Source organism: Homo sapiens, chromosome 5, assembly GCF_000001405.40.
Source record: "Homo sapiens chromosome 5, GRCh38.p14 Primary Assembly".
NCBI lineage: Eukaryota > Metazoa > Chordata > Mammalia > Primates > Hominidae > Homo > Homo sapiens.
This window is the reverse complement of record NC_000005.10, coordinates 54657460-54682619: the sequence shown is the minus strand read 5'-3', so window position 1 is coordinate 54682619 and position 25160 is coordinate 54657460. Positions and strand designations below refer to the sequence as shown.

The following is a 25160-nucleotide window of genomic DNA, read 5'->3' as shown; positions in this document are numbered from 1 at the left end:
CCAAAGGAGTTGAAAATTTATGTCCACTCAAAAATCTACCATGGATATCTATTGTAACTTTTTATAATTGCCAAAACTTGGAAACAACCAAGATGCCCTTCAGTAGATGAATGGATAAATAAACTAACATACATCCAGATAACATAATATAATTTAACACTAAGAAGAAATGAGCTATCAAGCCATAAAAACACAGAGGAAATTTAAATGCATATTTCTAAATGAAAGAAATCAATTTAAAAATGCTCATGCTGCATGATTCCTACTATGGAGATGATGAAAGATCAGAGGTTGCAAGGTGTTTTAGGTGGAAGGAAGGATGAATAGGCAGAGTACAGAGGTTTTTTTGGGCAGTGAAATTATTCTATAGGATACTACAATGGTGGATACATATCATTTTATACCTGTCCAAACCCATAGAATGCAAAAACATCAAGAGTGAACCCTGATGTAAACTACGGACTTTGGGTGGTAATGATGTATTAATGTAGGTTCTTCAGTGTAAAAAATGTACCACTGTGGTGAGTGATGTTGACATTGGGAGAGGTTGTGCATGTGTGGGGACAGGGATGTACAAACTCTCTGCACTTTACACTCAATTTTACTGTGAACCTAACGCTGCTCCAAAAATAGTTTATTAATTTTTTAAAAAATGAGCCTTTAATTTGCTTTACAAAACTCAAGCTATGGGTAGTTTGCCTATGGGCCTTTATTTGTACTCATGCTGACTGGGTAAAAGGTATGCTAACTTTTGAAATAATTTTTCTTTAGGAATGGAGAATGAGGAGCTCTGTGAGTAGGACTTAGCTAGTTCCTTCTTTTCTCACTTCTGTCCTCCGGAAAATCTCTACACATCCAGCAATCACAGCAATTCCAGAGCCCATTGATGGATGGAGCCACTCCATAAAGATTTGGGGCCAACTTTTTCTCTAAAGCCAGCTTTTTCTCTTTGTCAATTTGAGTTTTCATCTTGTCTGTCCTCAATGAAAACTTCAGTTTAAATTCATTCCAACCTCTGATGCTTTCTAATTATAGGATGGCTTAAAGAAATTTCTTGATTGTTCAATATTCAGAAGAAGCTACTCCATACTGGAGATTGCCTTTTTAAAATAAACATCCCACCTAGCTTCAGAAAACACTTAACAAATAAAAAATAAGAGTGACAGGGAAATCAGTGTGTGGTTGGATCCAATGTGGGACACTGTGTTTAATGCCAAATTATTACATTCTTCAAAAATCCAAAGAATCAACATTGTGAGACACTTAAGGGAAAAAAATGCGAAAATGGAAGGGTAAAAGTCAGTTGATCCAAAATAAAAAGTAATGAGTTGGAAAATAAGAAAATTAGAATGGTTTAGATTAATGTTCTCCCAAACTATTCCTCTCAACTGAATACAGATGATACCAAGAAAGGAGGATTTTTTTTTCTTTTTAATTAAAGGCATTTGGCAGGAAGTATTTCCCTAAGCTACAAATATATGAGGCGTTCCCAAAGCAAAAATGCTGGATCTGTTCAAGAATGAGCAGCCTTTTTGGTGAGGAGAGATCAGAAGGCAGATCACCCTTCCGAAGAGAAATGTTCCCTCATTCTGACTTGTCTGATATTCACGCACTCATCGTCCATCAGGATTATATTCCTGAAAATTTTCTTGTCAGGCAAATTTTAGGACAGCTCAATCTGTGTCAAGAAGAGCGAATGTACTTTGATTCTAGCACTGTCTTTGTCTTCGAAATACAGGACCAACATGGTCAGACCCTTCTCTACTAAAAATACACAAAATTAGCAGGGCGTGGTGGTGGGCACCTGTAATCCCCGTTACCCAGGAGGCTAAGGCAGGAGAATTGCTTGAGCCCGGAAGGTAGAGGTTGCAGTGAGCCGAGATCGCTCCACTGCACTCCAGCCTGGCAACAGAGCAAGACTCCATCTCAAAAAAAAAAAAAAAAAAAAGAATTAGAAATACAGTCACGTGCTGAATAACAACAACTGTACTGGTGAAAAGTACCAGTGCCTGCCACACCAACCTTTGTTGAAAGTTTGTTTGGGGGTTCAAAAGTGAGTTGCCAGATCAAGCAATTAGAGGGAACTGAACTTGGCATTTGGGAGTTCCTGGATTTAGAAGACGAAAACAGTGCTAGAATCAATGTACTTTTGGTCATGTTGACACAGATTGAGCGGTCCAAAAATTTGCCTGACGAGAAAATTTTCAGGAATATAACCTTCTAGGCATTAGTAGGATTATTCTTCCCAGCCTTCCTGATGTTAGACACATAGCCATATGATTTACTTTAACCAATGACATTTAAATGGAAGTCATATGTATCTCTTCCAGGTGGAAGCCTTTAAGGGTTTGCCAGTGATAGTTTGCCATGGTCCTTTCCCCTTGTCGTTGTGATCAGCAATGTTTCATTTGGTGGAGGCCCATCAGCCTACCTCCCTGAGTGCCTACGTGGAACAGAGGCTCCTGCTGAAGCGCGGTGGGTATGTGGCCTGAGTGAGAAATGAACTTTGCTGTTTTAAGCTACCGAGAATTTAGTTTGTTACTGCAGGATAATCCATCCTATTTTATTTAGAGTAACTGATCATCAAGGCAGCAATAACTAAAGCCAAAAACTATTTCATAGTTTATTTTCAGAGAAAATTCTTTTTAGAAGAATCGGACACTTTCCTATTTATAGGGGACCCTGAAAAGTCAATCATTTAAAAAATGTGACTCACCTACTGCAAATGTTATCAAAGTAAATGTTTATGACACCAGCTAGGCTTGTGAGACATCATATGCATGGTTAACTATTTCTGCCTGTCTATCCTAAATCTTGTCTGCAAAACCTTGCCTTGTTTTCGAAGTGCTTTCCTGATCTTTATTCATTGATACTATACTGTCTATTAATGCAAGAGTAACTATTTGTACCTCAATGTGTAAATATGGAAATATTTTAAAGCCGCCATAATTTTATTTAAACTGTTTTAGCCTGAAATTAACCAAATCCCCTTAGAAAGGTAATTAGATAATTAGATGGTTATCTTTATTACAGTAATAAAGATAATTATTATAGATAGTTGAGCACAAAGATATTTTCTAAATGAATGGAAATGTGGGGCTACACATGGATTACTGCCACCCATAGTAAATTTCAGGCTTGTTTACTTGTATTCAATTTAGAATTATATTTTCAATATTCAGTCAAGAATCAGTTTGATTATTTAGTTTGTTATACCAAAGTAGTCTTAATTTTGACAAATATTTGACAAGAAAGAAACTGAGCTTCATGAACTGTTTTATTGACTTTAATGTTTTTAAACAAGGAATTAAAGAGAGATGATTTGAGATTTAAAATATGCATTTGAGACAAGGGCTAAAGTTTACATACAAACTCTAATTTAGTTTCTTTCCTTTGGGAGATAATCCAACATGCACTTTTACGTTCAATTTAAATTTCAGGTATCCCATGTTACCCTATACTCATCCATAACATGCATCTTCTGTAAACAAATGCAATATAGCATCAAATAAAAAAATTTTAAAGATATAGAATTCATATAAAATGCTTTTTATCCCCAGATTTTTTTAAGAGAAAGATGATTAAGATAGGCATCTAAGATTTTGCTTTGAACCAGGTCTAACTATCCATGTATTTTTGAGAGCTTTCCAGAAAGGAGCAGAGCCAGATGACAAAATCAGTTCCCCCGGGGCTGAGTTGACTCAGAATATCTCCATATGGATGTCCCAAAACAAATTATACTCAACATGTCCCCAGATGAACTTGTCATTTGCCTTTCAAAACCATGATCTGAGAGTCCCCTTCAACTCTCCTCATGCGTCTCATATCTAACCGTTCACTGATTCCAGTTTTCAACTCTTTCCTCTAGTCCTATGATTACCCCTCTGTCCCGGCCCTCCCTCCCTGAAGGTCTTCCTGCCTCCAATATCTGCCCCCTCCCATCCTCATTCCCACTGCTACCATATTAGTCTCTGTAAAGCACAGGTCAGAGTGTACTGTTTTCACCTCTAAAATGCTGCTATCTTTTGTTTGCCTTTCAGACCCATTATGTACCCTTCTCCCCATTTTCTGTCCCGACAGCTAATCTGTATCGCATCAGCAAACTCCCTTCCCTCTGGCTACTAGTTCAGTTTTGACAATATGGAGCCCTGGAAAGGGAGAGTGAGTTCAGGGTATATATTCCTCAGCTACCTCCTTGCCTTACACACAAATCATCTGCATCTCTCACTTGAAGGCACAGATCCTATCTAGAAGCCTTCCCTACACACCTGGTTTAAATGCCATGTACTCTATACTTCTTTGCATCCCTGCCTTTGTCTTTCCTTTATTTCTCTGTCAGTCTGAAATTCTCTTCCTTCTCTTTACTGAAATATTTTCCATTTAATCCTGCATTATCCTTTGTATTGGGTTTATTAGGAAGATTCCAGAACTGCAAAATGGAAGGAGCCTTGAATTTACTGCTTGGGGAGAAGATGGCCCGCAGATCAGGAACAGCCCTTACAGACTTGACATGAATGAGAAACAAACAACTTCTATTGGGTTAAGACACAAAAACGTGGGGATATATCTGCTTCAACTGCTAGCATTACCTTAATTCATGAGTAAAATTATTTTAGGAAATAGAAAAGTTTCTCACTGAGGTTCCCAAGTGTGGCATTAAGGTAAGTTATAAACATCCAGGCAGGAAAACTGTGATCATGAGAAAGCTATAGGAGTTCACAAAGAATGTGTTTCCTACTGTGATAGTTTACTAGATTGGTAGAGAAAGAAAACCCAGCAGTTCTGGTCTTTCTGGACTTGCCCAAATCATTTGACAAAGCTATGATATTCTTTTATTTTAGAGGAAAAATTATTCACAAGATAAAAATGAAATTAAGTGAATTATTTACAGGTTGAATTAATTTATTCAAAGATAGTGGCTAATAGATAGGGATCAACCTGAAGAAAGTTTTCTAGTGGTAACAAGGCTTGGTTCTGTACCATGAACTTGGGGGCATTTTTGTTAGTTTTAGACTTAGATAAAAAGATAGAGTCTTGTTCATTAAATTTGCTCACATTAAACAATGACCTGAATTGAACAAATACAATTTTATAAGATAAATGGAAATTTTGATGCTTAGGCACACACACACACACACACACACACACACACACACACAATGTGAGTAAAGGATGGGGGAGCCATGGATTAAAACCACTTAATACTCTGAATTTACTTGTGGGTAAAACCTAGGAGTCAATAGTGTGATGTTATCACCTTAAGGTCTAGTGCCACCTGAAACTGCATTGACAGAAGAATAATAGCAATTGATAGGTAGATATCAGGTATTGACACCCCTTTATGCCAGGCACTGTAGTAGGCACTTTACTTGAGGCTACATATTAAACCATGTTTCCTAGAAAGGGAAGTAACTTGCCAAAGCCACGCTGCTAGTGAGTGGCAGTCTCTGAAATCAGATTTAGCAGAGTCTGTTCCTTTCTGCGCTAGTTAAGTCACATGGAATTATTTCTATTCTAGGCAGCCTATTTTAAGAGTAGAAAAGTAAAGCTTCTTAATGGGAAAAGGACCAAGATAATTTGAAAATCTTATCCCATGGAAATGTTTGAAAGATTAGGAGACAGAGGCCTTGGAGAAAAGAAGACTCAGAGAACTTGGCCCCTGTCTTCCAATATTCAACAGATTGCCAAGAAGGAGGATTTGAATGATTCTGTTCTGCCTCCTGGTCTCTCATACAGGATTTATTGGAGGAATAAAGAAAAGCTATGAAGTGATAGATTTCAATTCAATATCAGGAAGAGCCTTCTAACAGAGTTGTCCAAAGACAGACTTGGCTGCATCAGAGAGACTGGACACTTCCAACCTCAACTTGCAGCACTTGGCAGGGATTTTCCTGGGCAATTGACCTCGGGTCATTTTTAAAGGTTCCTTCCAGGTTTGAGAGCCTTTGATTTTCATGCTCACTGTGCTGTACTTGGGCAACTCAGGAAATTTGCAAACCAGCTGGCAGTTGCCTGCATCATTTGTGTGGTGACTTGGCTTTGTCAAGAGATAGTTCAAGAGGCAAATAAAATCCTCCTCCTAGAGATCAGAGTTTATGTTTATAGAATGAATGAAAGAAACTATGAACCAAACATTTATGAACAATGTCTGTGAGCCAGGCACAGTGCCTGGACATCCTCCACATCTTGTGCCTTTCCTCCCACAAAGTACGGGACTGAAGTTATTTCCTTTGAGAAATAATCATTCTAGTCAAAGATAAAATGCTGTTTTTGTTTTCTGTTTCTCTTCAAGAGGTTTGACTGAAAAAAAGATCTCATCACTTCATTTTCATGCCTTATTATGATTGTGTTGACAACAATAATGGATTAATTCTTTCCAACCTCCAGAGAAGAGCTGCCAGATAATGAACATGGGGAGGAATGCTGAGAAACCATTTTCCTTTTTGAGTAGGGTCTGGATTTAGGTAGGGAGGGCAGGGGCAGAACAACCAGAAATAGAGAGATTCCTGTCTTCAAGAGGGGCTTGAAGGGGGGCACAGAGTGAACTTCTGAGAGTGCGTGGCAGTCTTGATACACACACACAAATCCACTTTTAATAACCACCAAGAGCACTGGACCTCGGACAGAGCATGTACACTGTGAAAAGGTATGCTGGTGATTTTCAAGCCTTTGTTTGTCCAAAATAGGCCAACATGGTTGAATTGGGTCTCTAAAGCACCTCTGGAAAACCCCAGGGAGTTTTGAACACAGTTTGAAAAAGCACTATGATAAATAAGTCCAAGTGAATACAGGGCAAATAGATGGCAATCCCTGGGCTTGTTTATTTCTAAACAGAGTTCTCTCCCAGGCTCTCCTAGTACAGCATAGGCTAAGCTGAAAGACAGCCTATTGGTTGTCTGTTCTTTTTTGTTTAATTAATTTTTATTTTTATTTTAAGTTCTGGGGTACATGTGCAGGATGTGCAGGTTTGTCACATAGGTAAACGTGTGCCATGGTGGTTTGCTGCACGATCAACCCATCACCTAGGTATTAAGTCCCGTGTGCATTAACTATTTATCTTGATGCTCTCCCCCTACCCCACCCTCCAACAGGCCCCAGTGTGTGTTGTTCCCCTCCCTGTGTCCAGGTGTTCTCATTGTTCAGCTCCCACTTACGAGTGAGAACATACGGTGTTTGATTTTCTGTTCCTGTGTTAGTTTGCTGAGGATAATGGCTTGCAGCTCCATCCATGTCCCTGCAATGGATGTGATCTCATTCCTTTTTGTGGCTGCATAGTATTCCATGGTGAATATGTCCCACATTTTCTTTATCCAGTCTGTCATTGATGGGCATTTGGGTTGATTCCATGTCTTTGCTCTACCTGTTCTTTATTCTCTGTTTTCAGGGATAGCACTCTGGTCCTTGTCCTCATTACTACTAAAATCCCCTTGCCCTTCTCCCTACCTCTGGTCTCTGTCACTTCCAATGCATGCTGAATATAGAAAACAGACTGTTTTTTTTTTCCTAAAGTATATTTGTAAGGTCATGCTCTTGCCCAAGAATCTACCGAAGTACACTATTACCACCACTTTATTCAGGCTTCCCCGCTTCCACACACTTGTCCTCAAACAATCTCTGTTGCAACCCACCTGTCCTCTCTCACTCTCACCTTCAGGCCTCACCCGGCTGTTCCTTGCCTGGAACACTCTCTGTAGACCCAACCCCACCTCTTCTTTCCCTGATCACTTCTGCTGCTCACCCTTCCACCTTCCTTTGGACAGACTAGGAGCAACCCACTGCCCCCACCATGATGTGCACTATAATAGTACTTTATAACTTTCTATCCAAGGCAATCTAATTATAGTGCTTTTAAAGTTGCTTTATTACTTGTATCTCCTACTAAACTAAACAGCAAAAAAGGAATTTCTATACTTTATTTACTCTTGTACCTCCAGATCCTGGCAGTATAATTATTTGTTGAGTAAGTGATTAACTTCGACATAAATATTTGTTGAACAAGTAAATGAGTGAATGAGTGTGCGGCTGTTGATAGGATGATAGCTGGTTAGTAGCCTTTTACAGGTGTATTTTTCTTTGTGACACTCTTTCAGGTGGTCTTTGCGTTGTGATCCCCACAGTTTTGGAGTACCAAGTAAATGTTCCTTTTCTCTATTCATAGATGGGACAGCATGGCAGGAGTCATGAGTCTTCTGGAAATGAGACACTCTGAGTGTGGAGGAGGCTGTTGAACATCTATGGGAAAAAAAGAAGGAATTCAGGGCACAGTCTCCCTGGTAGCTGGTGGTGGTGGTGGGACAAACCCTGGAGGAGCTGGAAAAATGGCTTTTGTGCTCCTTCTTATTTCCATGTGGTAGCAGACATCATGCCTTATCTTGTTACCCAGAATCTCCCCAGTTTGCCATTGAAGAAATCAAGGTGTAGAGAAGCATAAGGACTTGCTCAGATATGGTGGCAGTGCCAGGCCTAGAGCTTAGTTCTTGCAGCAATACTTTCTGCCACCCTTCCTCTTCTCCCCACTACTCTCTGAAAGCCCTCTTTCCTATTTGCTAACTCAGTTATGCATGCAATGCTTCCTCCACGGCACTCACCACCACTGATGTGTGATGCTGTGAAAGCAGGAGGTCAAGGCCAGGGCACTTCCTCCTGTCTAGCATTTCTTGCAGAGAAGAGCTGTTCCTGTGTGTGTAGTAGGTGGGTGGGGCAAGGACTGGGACAAGCAGCACCAGGGGAGATTGCAAGAAATCCATCCCCATTTATGCAAATCTTTTCTTCTGGGGCTTCAGTAACAGCTTCACTTTTTTCTTTTGAAACTCCCAACAGAAAATGTTGTTTTAGATGGGTGCATGTGTGCAAGTACACATAAGTGCACATAACAACATCAGATACTCACGATAGGCATACTGTAGAGGATGAAAGGCCCACACCTACTTCAACCACCTTCATTCCCTCCTTCTCATGATTCATTTGTGGAGCGGGAGGCTGCTGACATCTTCAAATACAAGCCTCTCTGAGCTTGGAGTCAAGGGGCAACATTTCTGCAGAGGGCTCCTATAGACATCCATTTCCCCATGCTTTATTTCCAAGACCCTGATTTACGATGGATAAATTAAAGTTTCTTTGTTTATCACATGATAAGAAATGCAAGTTCATCTGCAAGATTCTCTGAGTTATTCCTTGCTCTGCAGATTTCATAAGTTCTGGTGGAGTTGACCTCCTTTCTGCTAAATGAGCACTGTTCCTGACCATGGATATTGGTATTGAAGATTTCTCAAAGGATCCAGCTCTTTAATTGGAATGTCCATGAATCAGGAAGAGCAGTGAATAGCTAGTTAAATGGTAATGGCCTTAAACAAGTCCTCAACACACATGAGCAACTGATTTCTTTTTCCTTTTATCTTTTTGTCCTTTCATTCCTTCAACCAATTTTCTCTTAGGGATCAAGGAGCTCACAATCTAGGGAGAGAGACAACAAAAAATTTGACCATTATTGCAAAATGTAGATGTAAGATGCTTGTATTGCAAGCAACAGAAAATCTGGCTCAATCAGGCTCAAACCAGGAAGGAAATTGATTGGCTCACATGACTGAAAACTCTCAAGGAAGGTTTGCCTAAGACAAGCTCACTCCCAGCAGCTCAGCCATTGGGTTTCTTTTCCATTTCTCTACCTGCCTTCTGGGATACTGGCTGCATTCTAAGGCTGACCCTGCTCAGAGTCCCAAAATGGCCATAAGCAACTCTCAGAGAAACATGCTTCCTTTTTCAGATCCCATGAGAAAGAATGTGTCTTTGCCCCAGCACTCCTGGAAAATGTCCTGAGACTCAGTGTGGTTCAGGGTGGGGCTGGTGGCTAAGCTGAGCTAATCAATTACATGACCAAAAGATGGTCACAGGCTCCACCCTGGAGGTAGATGTGAGAGTCAGCTGCACAGGAATCCCTAAATGGAAACAGAGCTGTGGGACAGGAAAAAGCAAGATAGCAAGAAATGTTGATTTCAGGGAAAGGGCTTTCACAGGGGTATTAATGTGATTGCCTGATGGGTTCTTCTTGCTGGCTGCACAGATAAACCCAATTTACTGAGACAGCAGTCTTGCAGTAAAGAAAGAATTTAGTTAATGCAAGACTGACCAAGCAGAAGGACAGGAGTTTATTATTACTCAAATTGCCTCTCCGAGAACTCAGAGGCTAGAGTTTTTATGAATAATTTGGTGGACAGGTGGGTAGGGAATGGGTGCTGCTGATTGGTTGGGGATGAAATCATAAGGGTGTGAAAAATGGTCCTCGTGTGCTGAATCTGCCTCTGGGTTGTGACCACAGGTGTGATTAAGACATGAGTTACGTGTCCAGGTGGGGTCAGTCAGTTGCCAGAATGCAAAAGTCTGAAAAACGTCTCAAAAGACCAATATTAGGTTATACAATAGTGATGTTATCTGTAGCAATAATTGTGAAAGTCACAAATATTATGGCCTCTGGCCACATGCTCTCCAGCATAGGGATTATAAAAACTATGCCTACATTTTAGCAGAATTCAGGCCCCTTCCATAATCCTAATCTCATGGCCTTTCATTAGTTTTACAAAGGCAGCTTCTGTCCCTCAGCAAGAAGGAGGTTAGTTTTAGGGAGGGACTATTATCATCCTTGTTCTAAAGTTAAACTGTAAACTAAATTCCTTCCATAGTTAGCTTGGCGTATGCCCAGGAATGAGCAAGGACAGTCAGCCTGTGAGACTAGAAGCAAGATGGAGTCAGCCATGCTAGACCTCTCTTGCTGTCATAATCTTTGCAAAAGTGGTTTCAATCATGTGACACCTGGAAGCACAAGAGGGGGGTCCCCCTCAGCCTGAGTAGGCTCAGGGTTTTCTGAGCCAAGAATGAGCCGTGGAAATGCAGGAAATTTGAACTGATCAACTACTAGAATATATTCCTATTGTACTTGAGGTGGAAGCTACCCTAGGTTAGAAAATGATGACAGTGTGAAATCTATCTAAAGAAGTCTGAGAACAGACTTTATGCCAGGACTCAAGAGGCTGTGTGTGTTTGGGAGTCCACATTCATCTCTTAAATTCTCAGCAAAGAGGATGAAAATATTTGAATATGTCCTAAGAGAGCTGTTCATACGCAGATTTCGGTTCCAGGGCCTGGGTAATACTGAACTGTATTACACAAGACAAGCCTAGGCTTGATTCCAACCAATCTGGGTTTGAGTCTTAGCTTTACCACTCATTGTGGCCTTGGGGAAATCACTTAACCTCTCTACTTGACCTCTTTGTATTTAAAATTTGAATAGCAGCACTTTCCTTGCAGTGATTGTGAAAAGCAGAAATAATGCCTCACAGTATACGGTGTGAAACAGGCATTAAGCAACTATGACTATTGCTATTTAAACAGAGCTGCCTCTCTGGCACGATGCAAGATCAGAAGAGGAATGTGCACTTTCTGGAAAAGCCTGGCTTTGGACAAGATCTAGGCAGTAAATACAAACATTGGGGAGCTATTAAGGACATGCTAATATGGGTGGAGTCTCTGCTGAGGTTCACGCCATGTTCCTCCTGGATTCACACATGCCTGGACATTCCTGGAAGATGGTCCTCCTTTTGGGAAAGGCGTATTTTAGGGATATAAAGCCTGGCATACTGGCTTGGTTCAAGGTAATAGACCCATATCAGAAAGTAAAACTCATAAACTTCACGCTTTTCTCAAAATCAGAACATTTCTGGTCTAGCCCCCCACAGTTGGCTCCTAAAGAAGAGACGCTGTAGGAACATGTAAGACTAAGAATATGACTGTCAGGCAGCCCAGAAGGCAGCTTTTGGATGGTCCAGAGGAGAGCACAAGAAAGTGTTATGGTGCCTTCTGGTTGGGGTTGAGATTGGAGTTGTATGGAGTCCAGAAAAAACAGAATTTGCACTGTGGCCACCTCGCCCCAATCCGGGCAGAAGAAGGAGAGGGAGGCATCACATTTGGTGGGTGTGAGAGAGACAGAGAAGGGTCAGTGCCAACAGCTCCAGCAGCAGGGGATACATTTTGTGGCTTTGAAGCATAGCCATAGCAGGTTGGAGGTGTCAGTGTCCTCATTGGGGGTGGGTCCATCATGCCCCAACACAAACATCACTGCAGGGAGCTGTAGCAGGGGGAAGCTGAGTGCAGGGTCATATGGTAGCTGAAAGGGCCATATGGTGAGCACACATGTGCCATCCCCTGGGGGTTCCCAGGAGCAGCTAGAGGGATTCTGCAGTGTTGATGAGGGGCAGGGCCAGACAGACCCTGCTGGTTACTCTAACTTTGCCCAGAGTAGTGTGACCAAGGAAACTCAGGCTACACAAATTCTTCACATCCTCCAGGACACTACACAACTGCTTCAAAGCCAGGAGTTCATTGATTACATTGTACCTTTAAGAAACCACGACTTAATGTTGTTATGCCTTTGCCTTTTGCCAGGGATAATTGAGAATGTTTCATATATACTATAAAACTTCCTATAATGACAAATTCTATTATGATGTTTAAAACCATATGTAAAACAAACCCTCCTGATTACTTTCTCTTACTATTCTAGGAATGTTTGTCTCTCATGTTGCACTAGCACACTTCCTTCCTTCCTTTTTCTTTCTTTTTTTTTTTTCTTTTTAATGAGCTAAACAATTTATGAGGTTTCTTTTTGCCTTGGCCACCAGGAGGGTAATAGTTAAGTGTGGTGCTCAGTTAGTTTAACTTTCTTTAGCATAGACAGATTTTATATTAAAACTACCTCTAACCCCTCTTGTCATCAACATGGCTCTTGTTTGGGGTGTTGTGGTTATCATTGTTGTTTTTGTCATTATTTTGATATGTCTTTTCAGTAAAGCCACTTACAATACTTGTTGGAATTAGCTTGTGGATGGCCCAGAATTTATTTCATAAATGCACTAATTGCTGAGAGAATCTGTAAAAATTGAACCTTTCTCAGGGCAGAAAACTCTTTTAAACCTCATATCATTTTTCTCCTAGGCATTAGGAGTTGAGAATAATGCTGCCTTTTTCTCAGTGTATTTTCATATGAGGCAATTCTTTGCTCTGTCAAATAGATTTATTTTCTTTATCAGGCAGAAATGTGGGCAAAAGAAAATGATCTCATTGCATATGATTCCTGACACAATACCCGGGACTCCAGACTGCAGGAAAATTTGGTTTCACAAATGACTTGGGAAACCTTTTTGGTTTTGAACATCTGTTCAAAGAAATCTTCTTTGGAAGTGTTCACTGTTGTTACTTCCTCAATGGCAACACAGACATGCTCTTGTCCTGATCCTTATATTACTATTGAATATGGAAGGACTAGTGTTCAGGTTCTTGCTCCAGCTTTTATAAAAAAAAAATGTATTCAATGATAACGTTTACTTACTGAAGTCGATAAATTTCTAAGTCTCTATTTATAAGAATAAGCACAAGCCAGCTGGGCACAGTGGCTCATGCCTGTAATCCCAGCAGTTTGGGAGGCTGAGGTGGGAGGATCACCTGAGGTCAGGAGTTCAAGACCAGCCTGACCGACATGGTGAAACCCTATCTCTATTAAAAATACAAAAATTAGCTGGGCATGGTGCCCGTGCCTGTGATCCCAGCTACTCAGGAGGCTGAAGCCGGAGAATTGCTTGAACCTGGGAGGCAGAGGTTGCAGTGAGCCAAGATCACACCATTGCACTCCAGCCTGAGTGACAAGTATAAAACTCCACCTCAAAAAAAAAAAAAAAGGCAGAAATCACTGTATAGCTCAAAGAGCTTTTGCTGTAAACGCACTCATAGAACCATGACCATGATCAAACAAACAAAAAGTTACCAGCACCCCAGTAGCTGTCCTCTTGCCCCGACCCCAATCCCTATATCCTCCCAAAAGGTAAACATAACCCTGCTTTCTGACACCATTATTGCTTGCCTGTTTTTAATCTAGGTAAAAGTAATCATTCAGTATTTGCTTTTCTATGTACTTTTCATGAGTTTCAGCCTCATGGTTGCATGTAGCAATTATTCATTCATTTTTATTGCTCTATATTAGCATTTAATTATGTAAACACACCTCAAGTCTTCTATCCACTGTACTCTTGGTTTCCACTTTCATTTTTCCAGTTTTTCTCCCTTACATATAATGCTGTAATGAATATTCTTGTATTTGTTTTTCAGTGAATATACACATGCATATCTTTTGTGGATAGACCTATTTGTTCTGGGCCATAGGTTTTACATATGTTCAACTTTAGTAGATACTAGAAAACAGTTTTCCAAAGTGGCTATACCAATTTTCATACTCGCTGGCAGAGTATGAGAGTTCCAGTTGCTCCACATCTTCATCAACATGTGTTACTGTCAATCTTTGTAATGTTAGTCATCTTGGTGATAACCAGTGAAGTTAGATGCCTTATCTTATGTTTATTGGCCATTTGGATATGCTTCTTTTATGAAATGCTCTTTCAAGTCTTTTGTTCATTCTTTTACCTTATAGCAATGTCACGAAGATACTTTCTTATGTTTTCTTTAGGAGCTTTGTTTATTTTACATTTAGGTTCATAGTCCAAATATAATTATGTATGAGGTACAGGTTAATATTTATTTTTTTCTGTGTAAGAATACAATTGACCTAGCATGATTTATTACAAAGATAATCCTTTTGCCACTACTCTACAGTGCTATTTTTATCATAAAATCAATTGTTCATATATGTGTGGGTCTGTTTATGGGCTCTTTAATATGACCCATTGTTCTAGTTGTCTTCCTTTCATCAATTAATATAATTTTGAGTTGGGAACATTGGTCTATAAGACCTGATGCTCAGGAATGCCTGACTGTAGGTAACAGGAAGGCTTGTAAAATGCTTGAATGGAGAAAATCCACTGAAATATTACAACCAGAAAGAATAGTAGAGATCATTTAATCTAATTCCCTTATCTTAAAAATGAGAAAGCAGGTCTACCCAGGTGTGCTAGATATCTCTACTCCACCTGTTATTCCCTTGGAGATGGGCCTCCAAGCTTCACATCAATGGGCTCCCTTATTTTCTGATTTCTGGTTGGTTCAGCTTATAGGGAGCATTGATTTGAGGATGCAGAAGGGTGAGGGGTCAGATATTTATTTTCTTAGCTACGTCCCTGCAGGCTGCTAGTTCTTTCCATAGAAAGTTATGGCTCCTGATGGGAGGCCCTCAAAGAACACTCTTCTTCCAGATACCAATTAACGTCTCCTTTCTTTTGCCCCAGGCCTGGAGTGGTAACACTTTCTCACTGTTACTAGTCCCAGGGTACTGCACTGGGATTCTGATGACACACGACTAAAGGCATTTATATTCCAAACTGGAAGATAGGAGACAGAATCCAAAGAAAGGGCACATTGCATCCATCTCTTAACAAAGGTTTCTAGAATCTACCACATGACACTTCCACTCAAATTTCATTGACTGTAACATGATCACTTGGCCATAGCTGGCTATAAAGCTGAGAAATGTTCCAGTTAGCTAAGTGTCAAGGTAAAAATCTTATAAGTTAAAAATATCACTAGGGAATAGCAAGCAGTCTCTGTCACCCGTGCCATTTAAGTCTAGCCATTAAACACATATTCAGTGCCACTCCAGGCCATCATGATTCTGAGATTCAGAAATGAATAGTGCATGATCTTGGTCCAGTCTAATGCAGGATGGAGATTCCTACCTCCAGAAGATGACTGTGCCATACCTATGCTTTGCATTTGGGATTCAAGAGGGCACGAGACAGTGTCCCTGTCTTCAGACAGATGACCATGAAGAAGTATCTGTTAGAACTCTTAGTAAATACAAGTTACCCAGGGAGACACAGACAGGAGTAGAAGAAGAAAACTGTTCTCTCAAGGAAGACCAGGAGTTTACCACAGAGACAAAGAGAAGACAGACCTTTCAGGCTCAGAAGCAGCAGGAGAAAGATACAAGGAATGAAAGCATAGTGTTTCAAGGGATCAGCAAGAATTCCAGGGATCTTGGAACATAACCTGCATAAAGGGGAGAGAGTAAGGATGAGGCTGGACAAGTCCACAGTGGCCAAGGAAGGTAGACTCTTGTGTGCCAAGCACAGGCATTTCACAAATGCCTCCACCCACCCATCCTCCAATCTCTTCTGTAGTACTTGCCTGCGGAAGATTTCCACTAAACCACCAATGAACAGTAACGTCACATCTAGAAATACGTCAAGCTCAGGCCCAATTTTCATCCCTCAATGAATTATCAGAGATACAAATCTTGAAATTTCAGCCCCTTTCTTGGCTTGAACTATCTGATGGAATTCTGGAATAACTTACTTGGCCAGACTCACTCTCAACCTTGGGAAAAAAAGCAAGCAGGTGAGGGGAGAGGTGCAAGAGGACTCTTACACCCATCCATTTAAAAATTGCTCCAAATGGCTTATTTTCCAAAAAAAACAAATATTTTAAATGAAATTTTTTTTTCTTCCCACAGATATATTCTGGAAAAGAAGAGGAGGAGGAAGAAGAATGACTGTAAAGGAAGGAGCAGTACTGTTTTCATGAGGACCTACTATGTGCCAGACATTATTCTAGGTGCTGGGGCTACCATGGTGAGCAAGACAGTCCCTGCTGCTTCTAGGAGTTCATATTCGAATGGAAGAAAACTATTTAAAATTGTACTTATTATCTCAAATTTTTTCAGGTATTGATAAATACTATGAAGAGTATAAAATGACACAGTAAAGAGTGATTGAAGACTCTTTAGTTGGGGTTTGAAGAAGTTCTAAGAGGTGACAATTGAGTTATGACCTTGTATTAGTTTCCTATTGCTGCCATGGTAAATTACCAAAATTTAATGACTTAATCCTACAAATTTATGAACTCATAATTCTGAAAGTCAGATGTCCAACAGAGGTCTCATTAAGCTAAAAGCAGGTTGTCAGCAGGGCTGCATTCTCTCTGAGGGTCTAGGAAGAACCCATTTCCCTACCTTTTCCTGCATTGAGAGGATGTCAGCAGTCCTTCCTGTGGTCCTCTTCCTCCAACTGCAAAACCAGCAGATTAGCATCCTCAGACCCTTTTGTGCTTCTGATACTCACTTTCCTGTCTTCTTACACCTAAAAGGACCCTTGTGAATACATTGGACCTACCTAGATAATCCTCCCATCTCTACATCCTTAACTTAATCACGTCAGTAAAGTTCCAAGGATTAGGACATCATCAGGGTTCGGGGGTAGGAGGGCATGGGGGCAGAAGAGGGTTGTTATTCTACCTATCATAGATCTAAATGATGGAACAAAGGCAGCTATGTGAAGATCTTAGGAAAAACCATTCCAAGCAGAAGGAAAAGTAATGTGAAGAACCCGCAGTGAGAATGAACATAGCACTTTTAAGGGACAGAAATATGAAAACGAGGCCACATCTCTGGAATCTAGTTTTCTCTGTTATATCCTAGAAAGGAGTTTTGTTCTGTGGGCATGTCACATCTCAGAAATCAGAGAGAAGCACAGCAAAGCCCCCCAGCTCAGATAACAAGGCTGGCAGGTATTTGCTTATACACAGACTTGCTTGTAGCCTATCTCTGACACTTTGCCAAATTCTTCAAAATCTTACATTCTATTAAAAAATAACAAACCGAGTGCTATTTTTAATACATTTGAAAGTTTTCACTGGAAATACCCACCTTTTGATTTGATGTTGGAACCCATTAGCATTGATTTTTCAAATATACCACCATTGATTCTCTACCAGCACATCAGATCTCCAGCTGAAGGAAGGTAGACTCTGAAGAATAAAATGACAGCTCAGAGAAGGTTTAAAATGTCTAGAAAATAGATGTTTCTCTTTCCACATGGATATGTGGTCCTTTTAAAAAGTGAAAGCATACAGTTTGAATCGTAAAGTAAAATAAATCAAACTGTATTCTACAAATCTCACAGAATAGATGTTTTCAATATTCCGCATTAGCAGGACAATGGAGCAAGAAGGTCAAAACTGAACTTCTCCAGGGTTTATTTTTTGCTGTTGGTTCTCTCACACCAACTGAGCTAATCAAGCTTGTCCAACCTGTGTATGAGTTGCTGCCCTGCATGAAATCAATTGGACACCCTGTCAGGGTGTATGGTATCAAAGGAGATGAGACAGTACATCAGGATGTTCACATACAAAGGAGTCAACTAATCGCTGATGAATGACCAAGTGAGGGATGCTGGGGTCCATTCCCGCTGGACAAACCGAGCCTCCTTACCTGCTATTCTTTACGATGTGGCAACTCTCTTTTCTTTTCTATTTTCTTTACTCGTTCATTTTAATATTTTTAATATTGCTAACATAAAACCTTTTGAAATATAATATGCAAAAGACACCATCATCCCCAATTTATTCTTCCCAAAAGCAACAATTATTAACTGTTTCCTTTGGGTCTTTTCAGAATTGTCCTTCTACATAACATAATATAGTATAGTATTGTATCAGGTCATAATACATCTTATCATATCTGTTTTCCCCTGTGAATGGTGTCACACTGCACGCATTGTTGTGCAACTTGCATTTTTTTCACTTTGCTCAGTACGCTGGGCGACCTTCCATGGCAGCAAGTCAGCATTTTGAAAATGCCCCATGCAGAAATGCAGACTTCATGCTTTCTCTGTGGTTCACTGTTTGTGGCTAAAGAAGAAAGTTACTGAAATGTGTCCAGACCATCGCTTTCAAGAGAAAGGAATCTATTGTGTATGTAACTGACTTCATCCCAACGTATGATTTTGATTTGTCAGTTAGGATATTATTTTCCTTATCACATCATCTGACATAATTAAAGGACTCTGAAATGTCGCCTTCATTCCTCTGATAACTTGTGAACAGAGCTCTTGAAAGGCTTTCAAACTTGTCATCTCAGTACATATCCATTTTAACACCCCAGGTCAAGTAATTTTTCTAAGAGAATGTATTACAAAATGAGCTACAACGTGAATTCATTACCATAAATTATGAAACAAGAGGTCATCGTGCTTGTGAACTTAGAAGAAACTTTAAAAAACAGAATGAATATTTCTTCATAAATCTTATAATGTTATGATCCACTTTGCATTTAGAAGGACATAAAAACGGTATGAATTCCTCCTAGTGTATTTGGCAATTCCCTCTTCAAAGTGGTACCAGTGCCTTAAATAAGGGATTAAATTAAGATTTTTATTAATAGCACACGAAACATAGTTTTGAAAAGTGATGAATCTGGCCAGGCGCGGTGGTTCACGCCTGTAATCCCAGCACTTTGGGAGGCCGAGACAGGCAGATCGCTTGAGGTCAGGAGCTTGAGACCAGCCTGGCCAACATAATGAAACCCAGTCTCTACTAAAAATACAAAAAATTAGCCGGGCATGGTGGCGCGTGCCTGTAATCCCAGCTACTCGGGAGGCTGAAGCAGGAGAATCGCTTGAACCCGGGAGGCAGAGGTTGCAGTGAGCCAAGATTGTGCCATTGCACTCCAGCCCGGGCAACAGTGTGAGACTCCATCTCAAAAAAAAAAAAAAAAAAAAAAAAAGGGAAAGAAAAGTGATGAATCTAAGTTAATGTCCAAAGCACTAAAGCCACATTGAATGAATCTAAGTGAATTTTCCCCTTTCTTAAGCAAAGCCAACTTCAGTGTGGCCTTAGTGTTTTGAGGAGACAATGTAACTCTTTATGGAACTCTCATCCCCATGAACACAAAAATGCAAAACTTTTTTTTTTGTTGTTGTTGTTTTTTCCAAACGCAGAACTTTTATCAGTTTGTTTTGTCAGGCCCTTAGAACTGTTTTTAAAAGAAAATTAATAAATCTCTGCTTTGGGATATATCACACTCTCTTAAAAAGGAAGAATATGACCTGAACTAACCTATTCTTCCTGCCAGCAATAGCCCAACCTAAACCAGATATATTCTGTGGTGTATGGTATATGGGCTTTATGACCAAGCAGACCTGTTTCATTTTGTTTTGTTTTGTAGCCACTTTTTTGAGATAAAATTCACATGCCGTACAATTCACTCAAACTTGGTTTTGAGTCCAAGTTTTTCAACTTCCCTAGGCTTCAGTCTTCTTATCTGTAAAATGGTAATAATAGCACAACCCTCTGATTTGCTGTGCAAATGAGATGCTTGTGTTCAGTCTATCCCATGGCTAAATAAATGAAAGCATAACAGACAGAATAGTTTTTCATTTTTTACACACTCAACTTGGTCATTGAACTTTATAAGCAATCAGATCTCCGATTCTGATTTTCCACTTTGACAGTGAAAACCTTAATTCTGTTAATTTATGTTAATTTCAGGTACCAAATCTAGCTTAATTGAGTACTTTATCAGTCTCTGCTGATTAAACACTCGATCAGTGAAAGATTCTGCCCCTCCCCTGCCTTTGGATGGACCTGGGTTCACAGGCAGCCACTATGGCAGTGTGGCTGGTTTGCATCTGTCCACTGGTGCTGCTGCAGTGGAGACTTCCATCTGGCCTCGTGGGATGGGCAGTGCAAGGAGATGGAGGTTCCAGGGATCTTGCTGGTTTCCTCTGTCATCTTGGGCCCCAGGAGCCACTTGTTGCTGTCTCGATGCCCTCCAAATATTCCGGGCAACAGGGGGCATCTGTAGGGCTTTGTCTCTCAAGGGGCCCTGGCAGAAAATGAGGTAGAGGTCCACTTCACTCTTTTTTTTTTTTTTTTTTTTTTTTTTTTTTTTTTTTTTTGAGACGGAGTCTCTCTCTGTTGCCCAGGCTGGAGTGCAGTGGTGCAATCTCGGCTCACTGCAACCTCTGCCTCCCGGGTTCAAGCTATTCTCCTGCCTCAGCCTCCCGAGTAGCTGGGACTACAGGTACGTGCCACCACGCCTGGCTAATTTTTTGCATTTTTAGTAAAGACGGGGTTTCACCGTGGTAGCCAGGATGGTCTCAATCTCCTGACCTCGTGATCTGCCCACCTCGGCCTCCCAAAGTGCTGGGACTCTTGAACGCCAAACTGTAAGCTCCCTTCAGCACTCGTATGGAGGTAGGAGTGGAAGCAGGGCATTTCACCATTGCACCTGACTTCCTTCTCTCTCCAAATTCTCTCTGCTCCCCTCTCTTGTTCAGGTTTGCTGGGGAGCACAAGAAGCTGCGATTTTTGTTCTGCTGATTTCCATTAACACCCCCTACCCACCCCACCTTCACCCCTGGCAAATAGACGCCGCTAAATGGAGGTGAGCATGAGGAAGAAAAATGGAGCAGGCCCAGCAGGTTGACGTGTCTGATTTGCCACTACAGTCACAGTGGTATTTCACATTATATTCTACATATTTGATGGTTATCTTACCTCTACCATCACAAAAAAATTCCGCATTTCTTTCTCTGGATGCAGATTTTGTTACTTATTTTTCTCTCTTGCAAGATGAAATCTGAAGGAATTCATGATTCTAGTTTATGACTCTTTGCCCTCGCCTCTTGCCTCCATTCTTTGATCTCTGATACCCTGTGTATGAGGCACTGCCCTGTATGAAATCCTATGGGTTGAATAGACCCTTCCAGGGGTGTCCAATCTTTTGGGTTCCCCGGGCCACATTGGAAGAAGAAGAATTGTCATGGGCCATACATAAAATACACTAACACTAGCCGGGTGCAGTGGCTGCTGCCTGTAATCCCAGCACTTTGGGAGGCTGAGGCAGGCAGACCACAAGGTCAGGAGATCAAGAGCATCCTGGCCAACATGGTGAAACCCCACTAAAAATACAAAAATTAGCTGGGTGTGGTGGTGCGCACCTGTAGTCCCAGCTACTCGGGAGGCTGAGGCAGGAGAATTGCTTGAACCCAGGAGGCGGAGGTTGCAGTGAGCCAAGATCACGCCACTGCACTCCAGCCTGGTGACAGAGCGAGACTCCATCTCAAAAAAAAAAAAAAAAATACACTAAGACTAACGATAGCTAATGAGTTAAAAAATAAATCACACAAAAAAATCTCATAATGTTTTAAGAAAGTTTACTAATTTGTGTTGGGCTGCATTCAAAGCTGTCCTGGGCCACATGCTGCTTGCAGCAGGCCTCAGGTTGGATAAGCTTGATTATATGTTGAAATCCTAGCCCCCAGCACCTCAGAATGAGACCTTACTTGGGAACAGTGTCATTGAAGATATAATTAGCTCAGTTAAGATGAGGACATACTAATATGTGGTGGGCCCTAATCTAATATGACTGATGCTTTATATAAAACAGGGAAACTTGCAGCTACTTGGGAGGCTAAGGTGGGAAGATCGCTTGAGCCCAGGAGGTCGAGGCTGCGGTGAACCAAGATTGTGACACTGCACTCCAGCCTGGGCAACAGATGCTGTGTGAAGATGAAGGCAGAGATCAGGCTGATGCTTATGGAAAGCCAGAGATTGCCAACAAACCACCAAAAGCTAGGAGAGAGGCCTGGAACAGATTCTCTCTGAGTCCTCAGAAGGAACCAACCCTGCCAACACTGTGATCTTGGACTTCTAAACCCCAGAACTGTGAAATAATAAATGTCTGATGTCTAAGCCAGCCAGTTTGTGGTAGTTTGTTACAGCAGCCCTAGAAACCTAACATATGGTACGTATGGTTTTGTCTTCCCAACCCACTTATTTTTCTGGGAAATCTCTCTCCCTCCCCAACTACTGCAGGAGCAGCCATGTTGATCAACATGGCCACCTGCCACTGGTAGAGTTCATTGAAAGTTGGCATTTGAAACCAGAGAACAAGTCTTCAGTGACTAAAGCTGAAAAGTATGAAACTCAGGAACTGCCAACAACCATGTTTTCTACAGCAAAAAGAAAGCCAGTCTTCGGAAGACAAAGCTGGCATCCAGAGCGGCAGAGGTGAGGCGAGGGGAGAGAGCTGAGAGTTTCCTGCTTCAGCTCCATTGGTGCCCGAGGCCTCAGCTCTATCCAAACTTGGCTGTGACTTGAATTCCAGGACACTAAAGTGGCTGTCCAGTAAATTCTTTTTTTTTTTTCTCAAGCCAATTCATAAACAGTCTGTGGTACTTACAACTCAGACTTCTATTTAACATCTTCTCCATAACTCACTCAGTCTCGTTTTTCATAAGTGGAAGTTTGCTGCTCTAAGTAACTATGTCCTTACCAGACATGGGTGCAGGATCGAGAAAAGAGCATTAATAAAAATTAATGTTAGTCAAGAAATATGGCGGGACGCAGTAGCTCACGCCTGTAATCCAGTACTTTGGGAGGCCAAGGTGGGCAGATTACTTGAGGTCAGGAGTTCGAGACCAGTCTGGCCAACATGGTAAAACCCTGTCTCTACTAAAAATACAAAAAAATTAGCCAGGGGTGGTGGCAGGTGCCTGTAATCCCAGCTACACCAGGAGGCTGAGGCACAAGAATAGCTTGAACCCAGGAAGCAGAGGCTGCAGTAAACTGAGATTGCACCACAGCACTCCAGCCTGGGTGGCAGAGAGAGACTCCATCTCAATTTAAAAAATAAATAAATAAAAAGTTAGTCAAGAAATATATAACAAGTTTTGTTAAGCTTTCTTTCTTAGATGAAACTTTAAACCATCATAAACTACAAGAAATTAGACTGATTTCTTTGCCTTTTAGATTAAAATCCAAAATAATTCATTAGCAAGCAACTTTTATCTTTCCTTAACAGATGGGTATGTTTTTTAACCTCTGAACACACCATAGTTCCTTCATTAAGATAAAGAGTCATTTTGCAGAGTTGATTGGGATATCTATGAAGGAATCATTTCAACGATTATGCTTTCGTTAGCTTTATTTTTATTATTTATTTATTTTATTATTAATTATTATGAGAAATGCAGTCATACTATCGTTAACCAGAGTGGTCTCAAAGTCCTGGCCTTAAACAATCCTCCTGCCTCGGCCTACCAAAGTGCTGGGATTACAGGTGTGATCCACCATGCCCAGCTAGCTTTATTATTAAAGGTTATATTAGTCCTATGATAAGTTTCAAATGCCTGGCATTTTTCCTGAGAAAATAGTTACTATTTAGAATGTTAACAATAAGGAATTTTTCTGTCTGCCCATTACCACATTTTTTTTAAATCTCAGAAAATAAGTACTTAATCTTAATTCAGATTTACACACTTCTTAATGACTTCTGATGTCTAGAGATACAGTCTCAAAGGCTACCAGCTTCATGTCAGAAAAGAACAAGCAAATAAAAGTTGATCCTGGAGACTAGGAAATAAAATTCAGCAATTCTCATGCTATTTTGTATACTAATCAGGGAATGCATTAATTTTCTGTTGCTGCATAATTACAATTTACCCCAGAACTTAATGGCTTAAAGCAGCATTCAGTATTTATGATCTCATATGGTTTCTGTGAGACAGGAATTCGAGAGTGATTCAGATGGGTAGTTCTGGCTCAAAGCTTCACGTGAGGCTGCAGTCAAGATATCAGCCAGGGGTGGAGTCTCCAGAAGGATTGACATGCACTGAGGCCTTCACTTCCAAGGCAGCTTGCTTACTCATTCATATAGCTGGCAAGTTGATGCTGACTGTTGGCAAGAGGCCTCAGTCCCCACCACGTGGACCTTTTCATTGTGCTGCTTGAGTGTCCTCATGACATGACAGCTGGATTCACCCAGAGTAAGTGATCCAAGAGAGAGCAAAGATAGAAGCTGCAATTTTTTAATTACCTAGCCTTGTAATTAGGTGCCACATACTGTCATTTGCACAATATCCTATTGGTTATACAGGTCAGCCATATTCAACATGAGAGGGTGACAATACTGGGAGGTAAAACTCATTAGGGGGTATCTTGGAGGTTTCCTAGTCTTACTCTGGGTATTCATGAGAAAAACATTATTATGTTAAAAAGTATGGAAAATGCTTTTCAAAATTAATACACCTAAGAAAACTTCAACAAAATTCATAATAGAGCCATAAAATTCTAGAATCAGAAAGAAACTTGGTTATCAACCAGTGTAACTTGGTCATGGAGACTGAGTCTCTGAAAGGTGAGAATTTTTTTAACTTTATATAGCAAATTAGTGACTGGATGAGGCTTAGATCCAGGCCTCTTTACTTCTGGTTAGGGCCGGTGGTGAACAGGCTGGCTTGGAAATTAACATCCGTTCCAATCTCCTTATAGTATGGCTTCCTACTGCAGCGGCTGGAGAACCTAAACCATATGATTCGCAAACTCCCTTGCAGCTAGGGTTTTGGATATGATTTGGGTTAAGGCAATCAGACTGCAGAAGTGAGATC

At 40.8% G+C, this 25160-nt stretch overlaps 1 long non-coding RNA gene across 2 annotated transcripts in view; it reads left to right on the top strand.

Moving 5' to 3' along the window:
- LINC02998 (long intergenic non-protein coding RNA 2998) overlaps positions 1-22462 on the top strand; it is an 84101-nt gene extending 61639 nt beyond the window's left edge. For both annotated transcript variants that reach the window (NR_104658.1, NR_104659.1), the window contains exons 2-3: positions 16445-16562; positions 22160-22462. This is a non-coding gene — a long non-coding RNA (long intergenic non-protein coding RNA 2998). The remainder of the gene's footprint in view (positions 1-16444; positions 16563-22159) is intronic.
- Positions 22463-25160: the final 2698 nt, after the last annotated feature.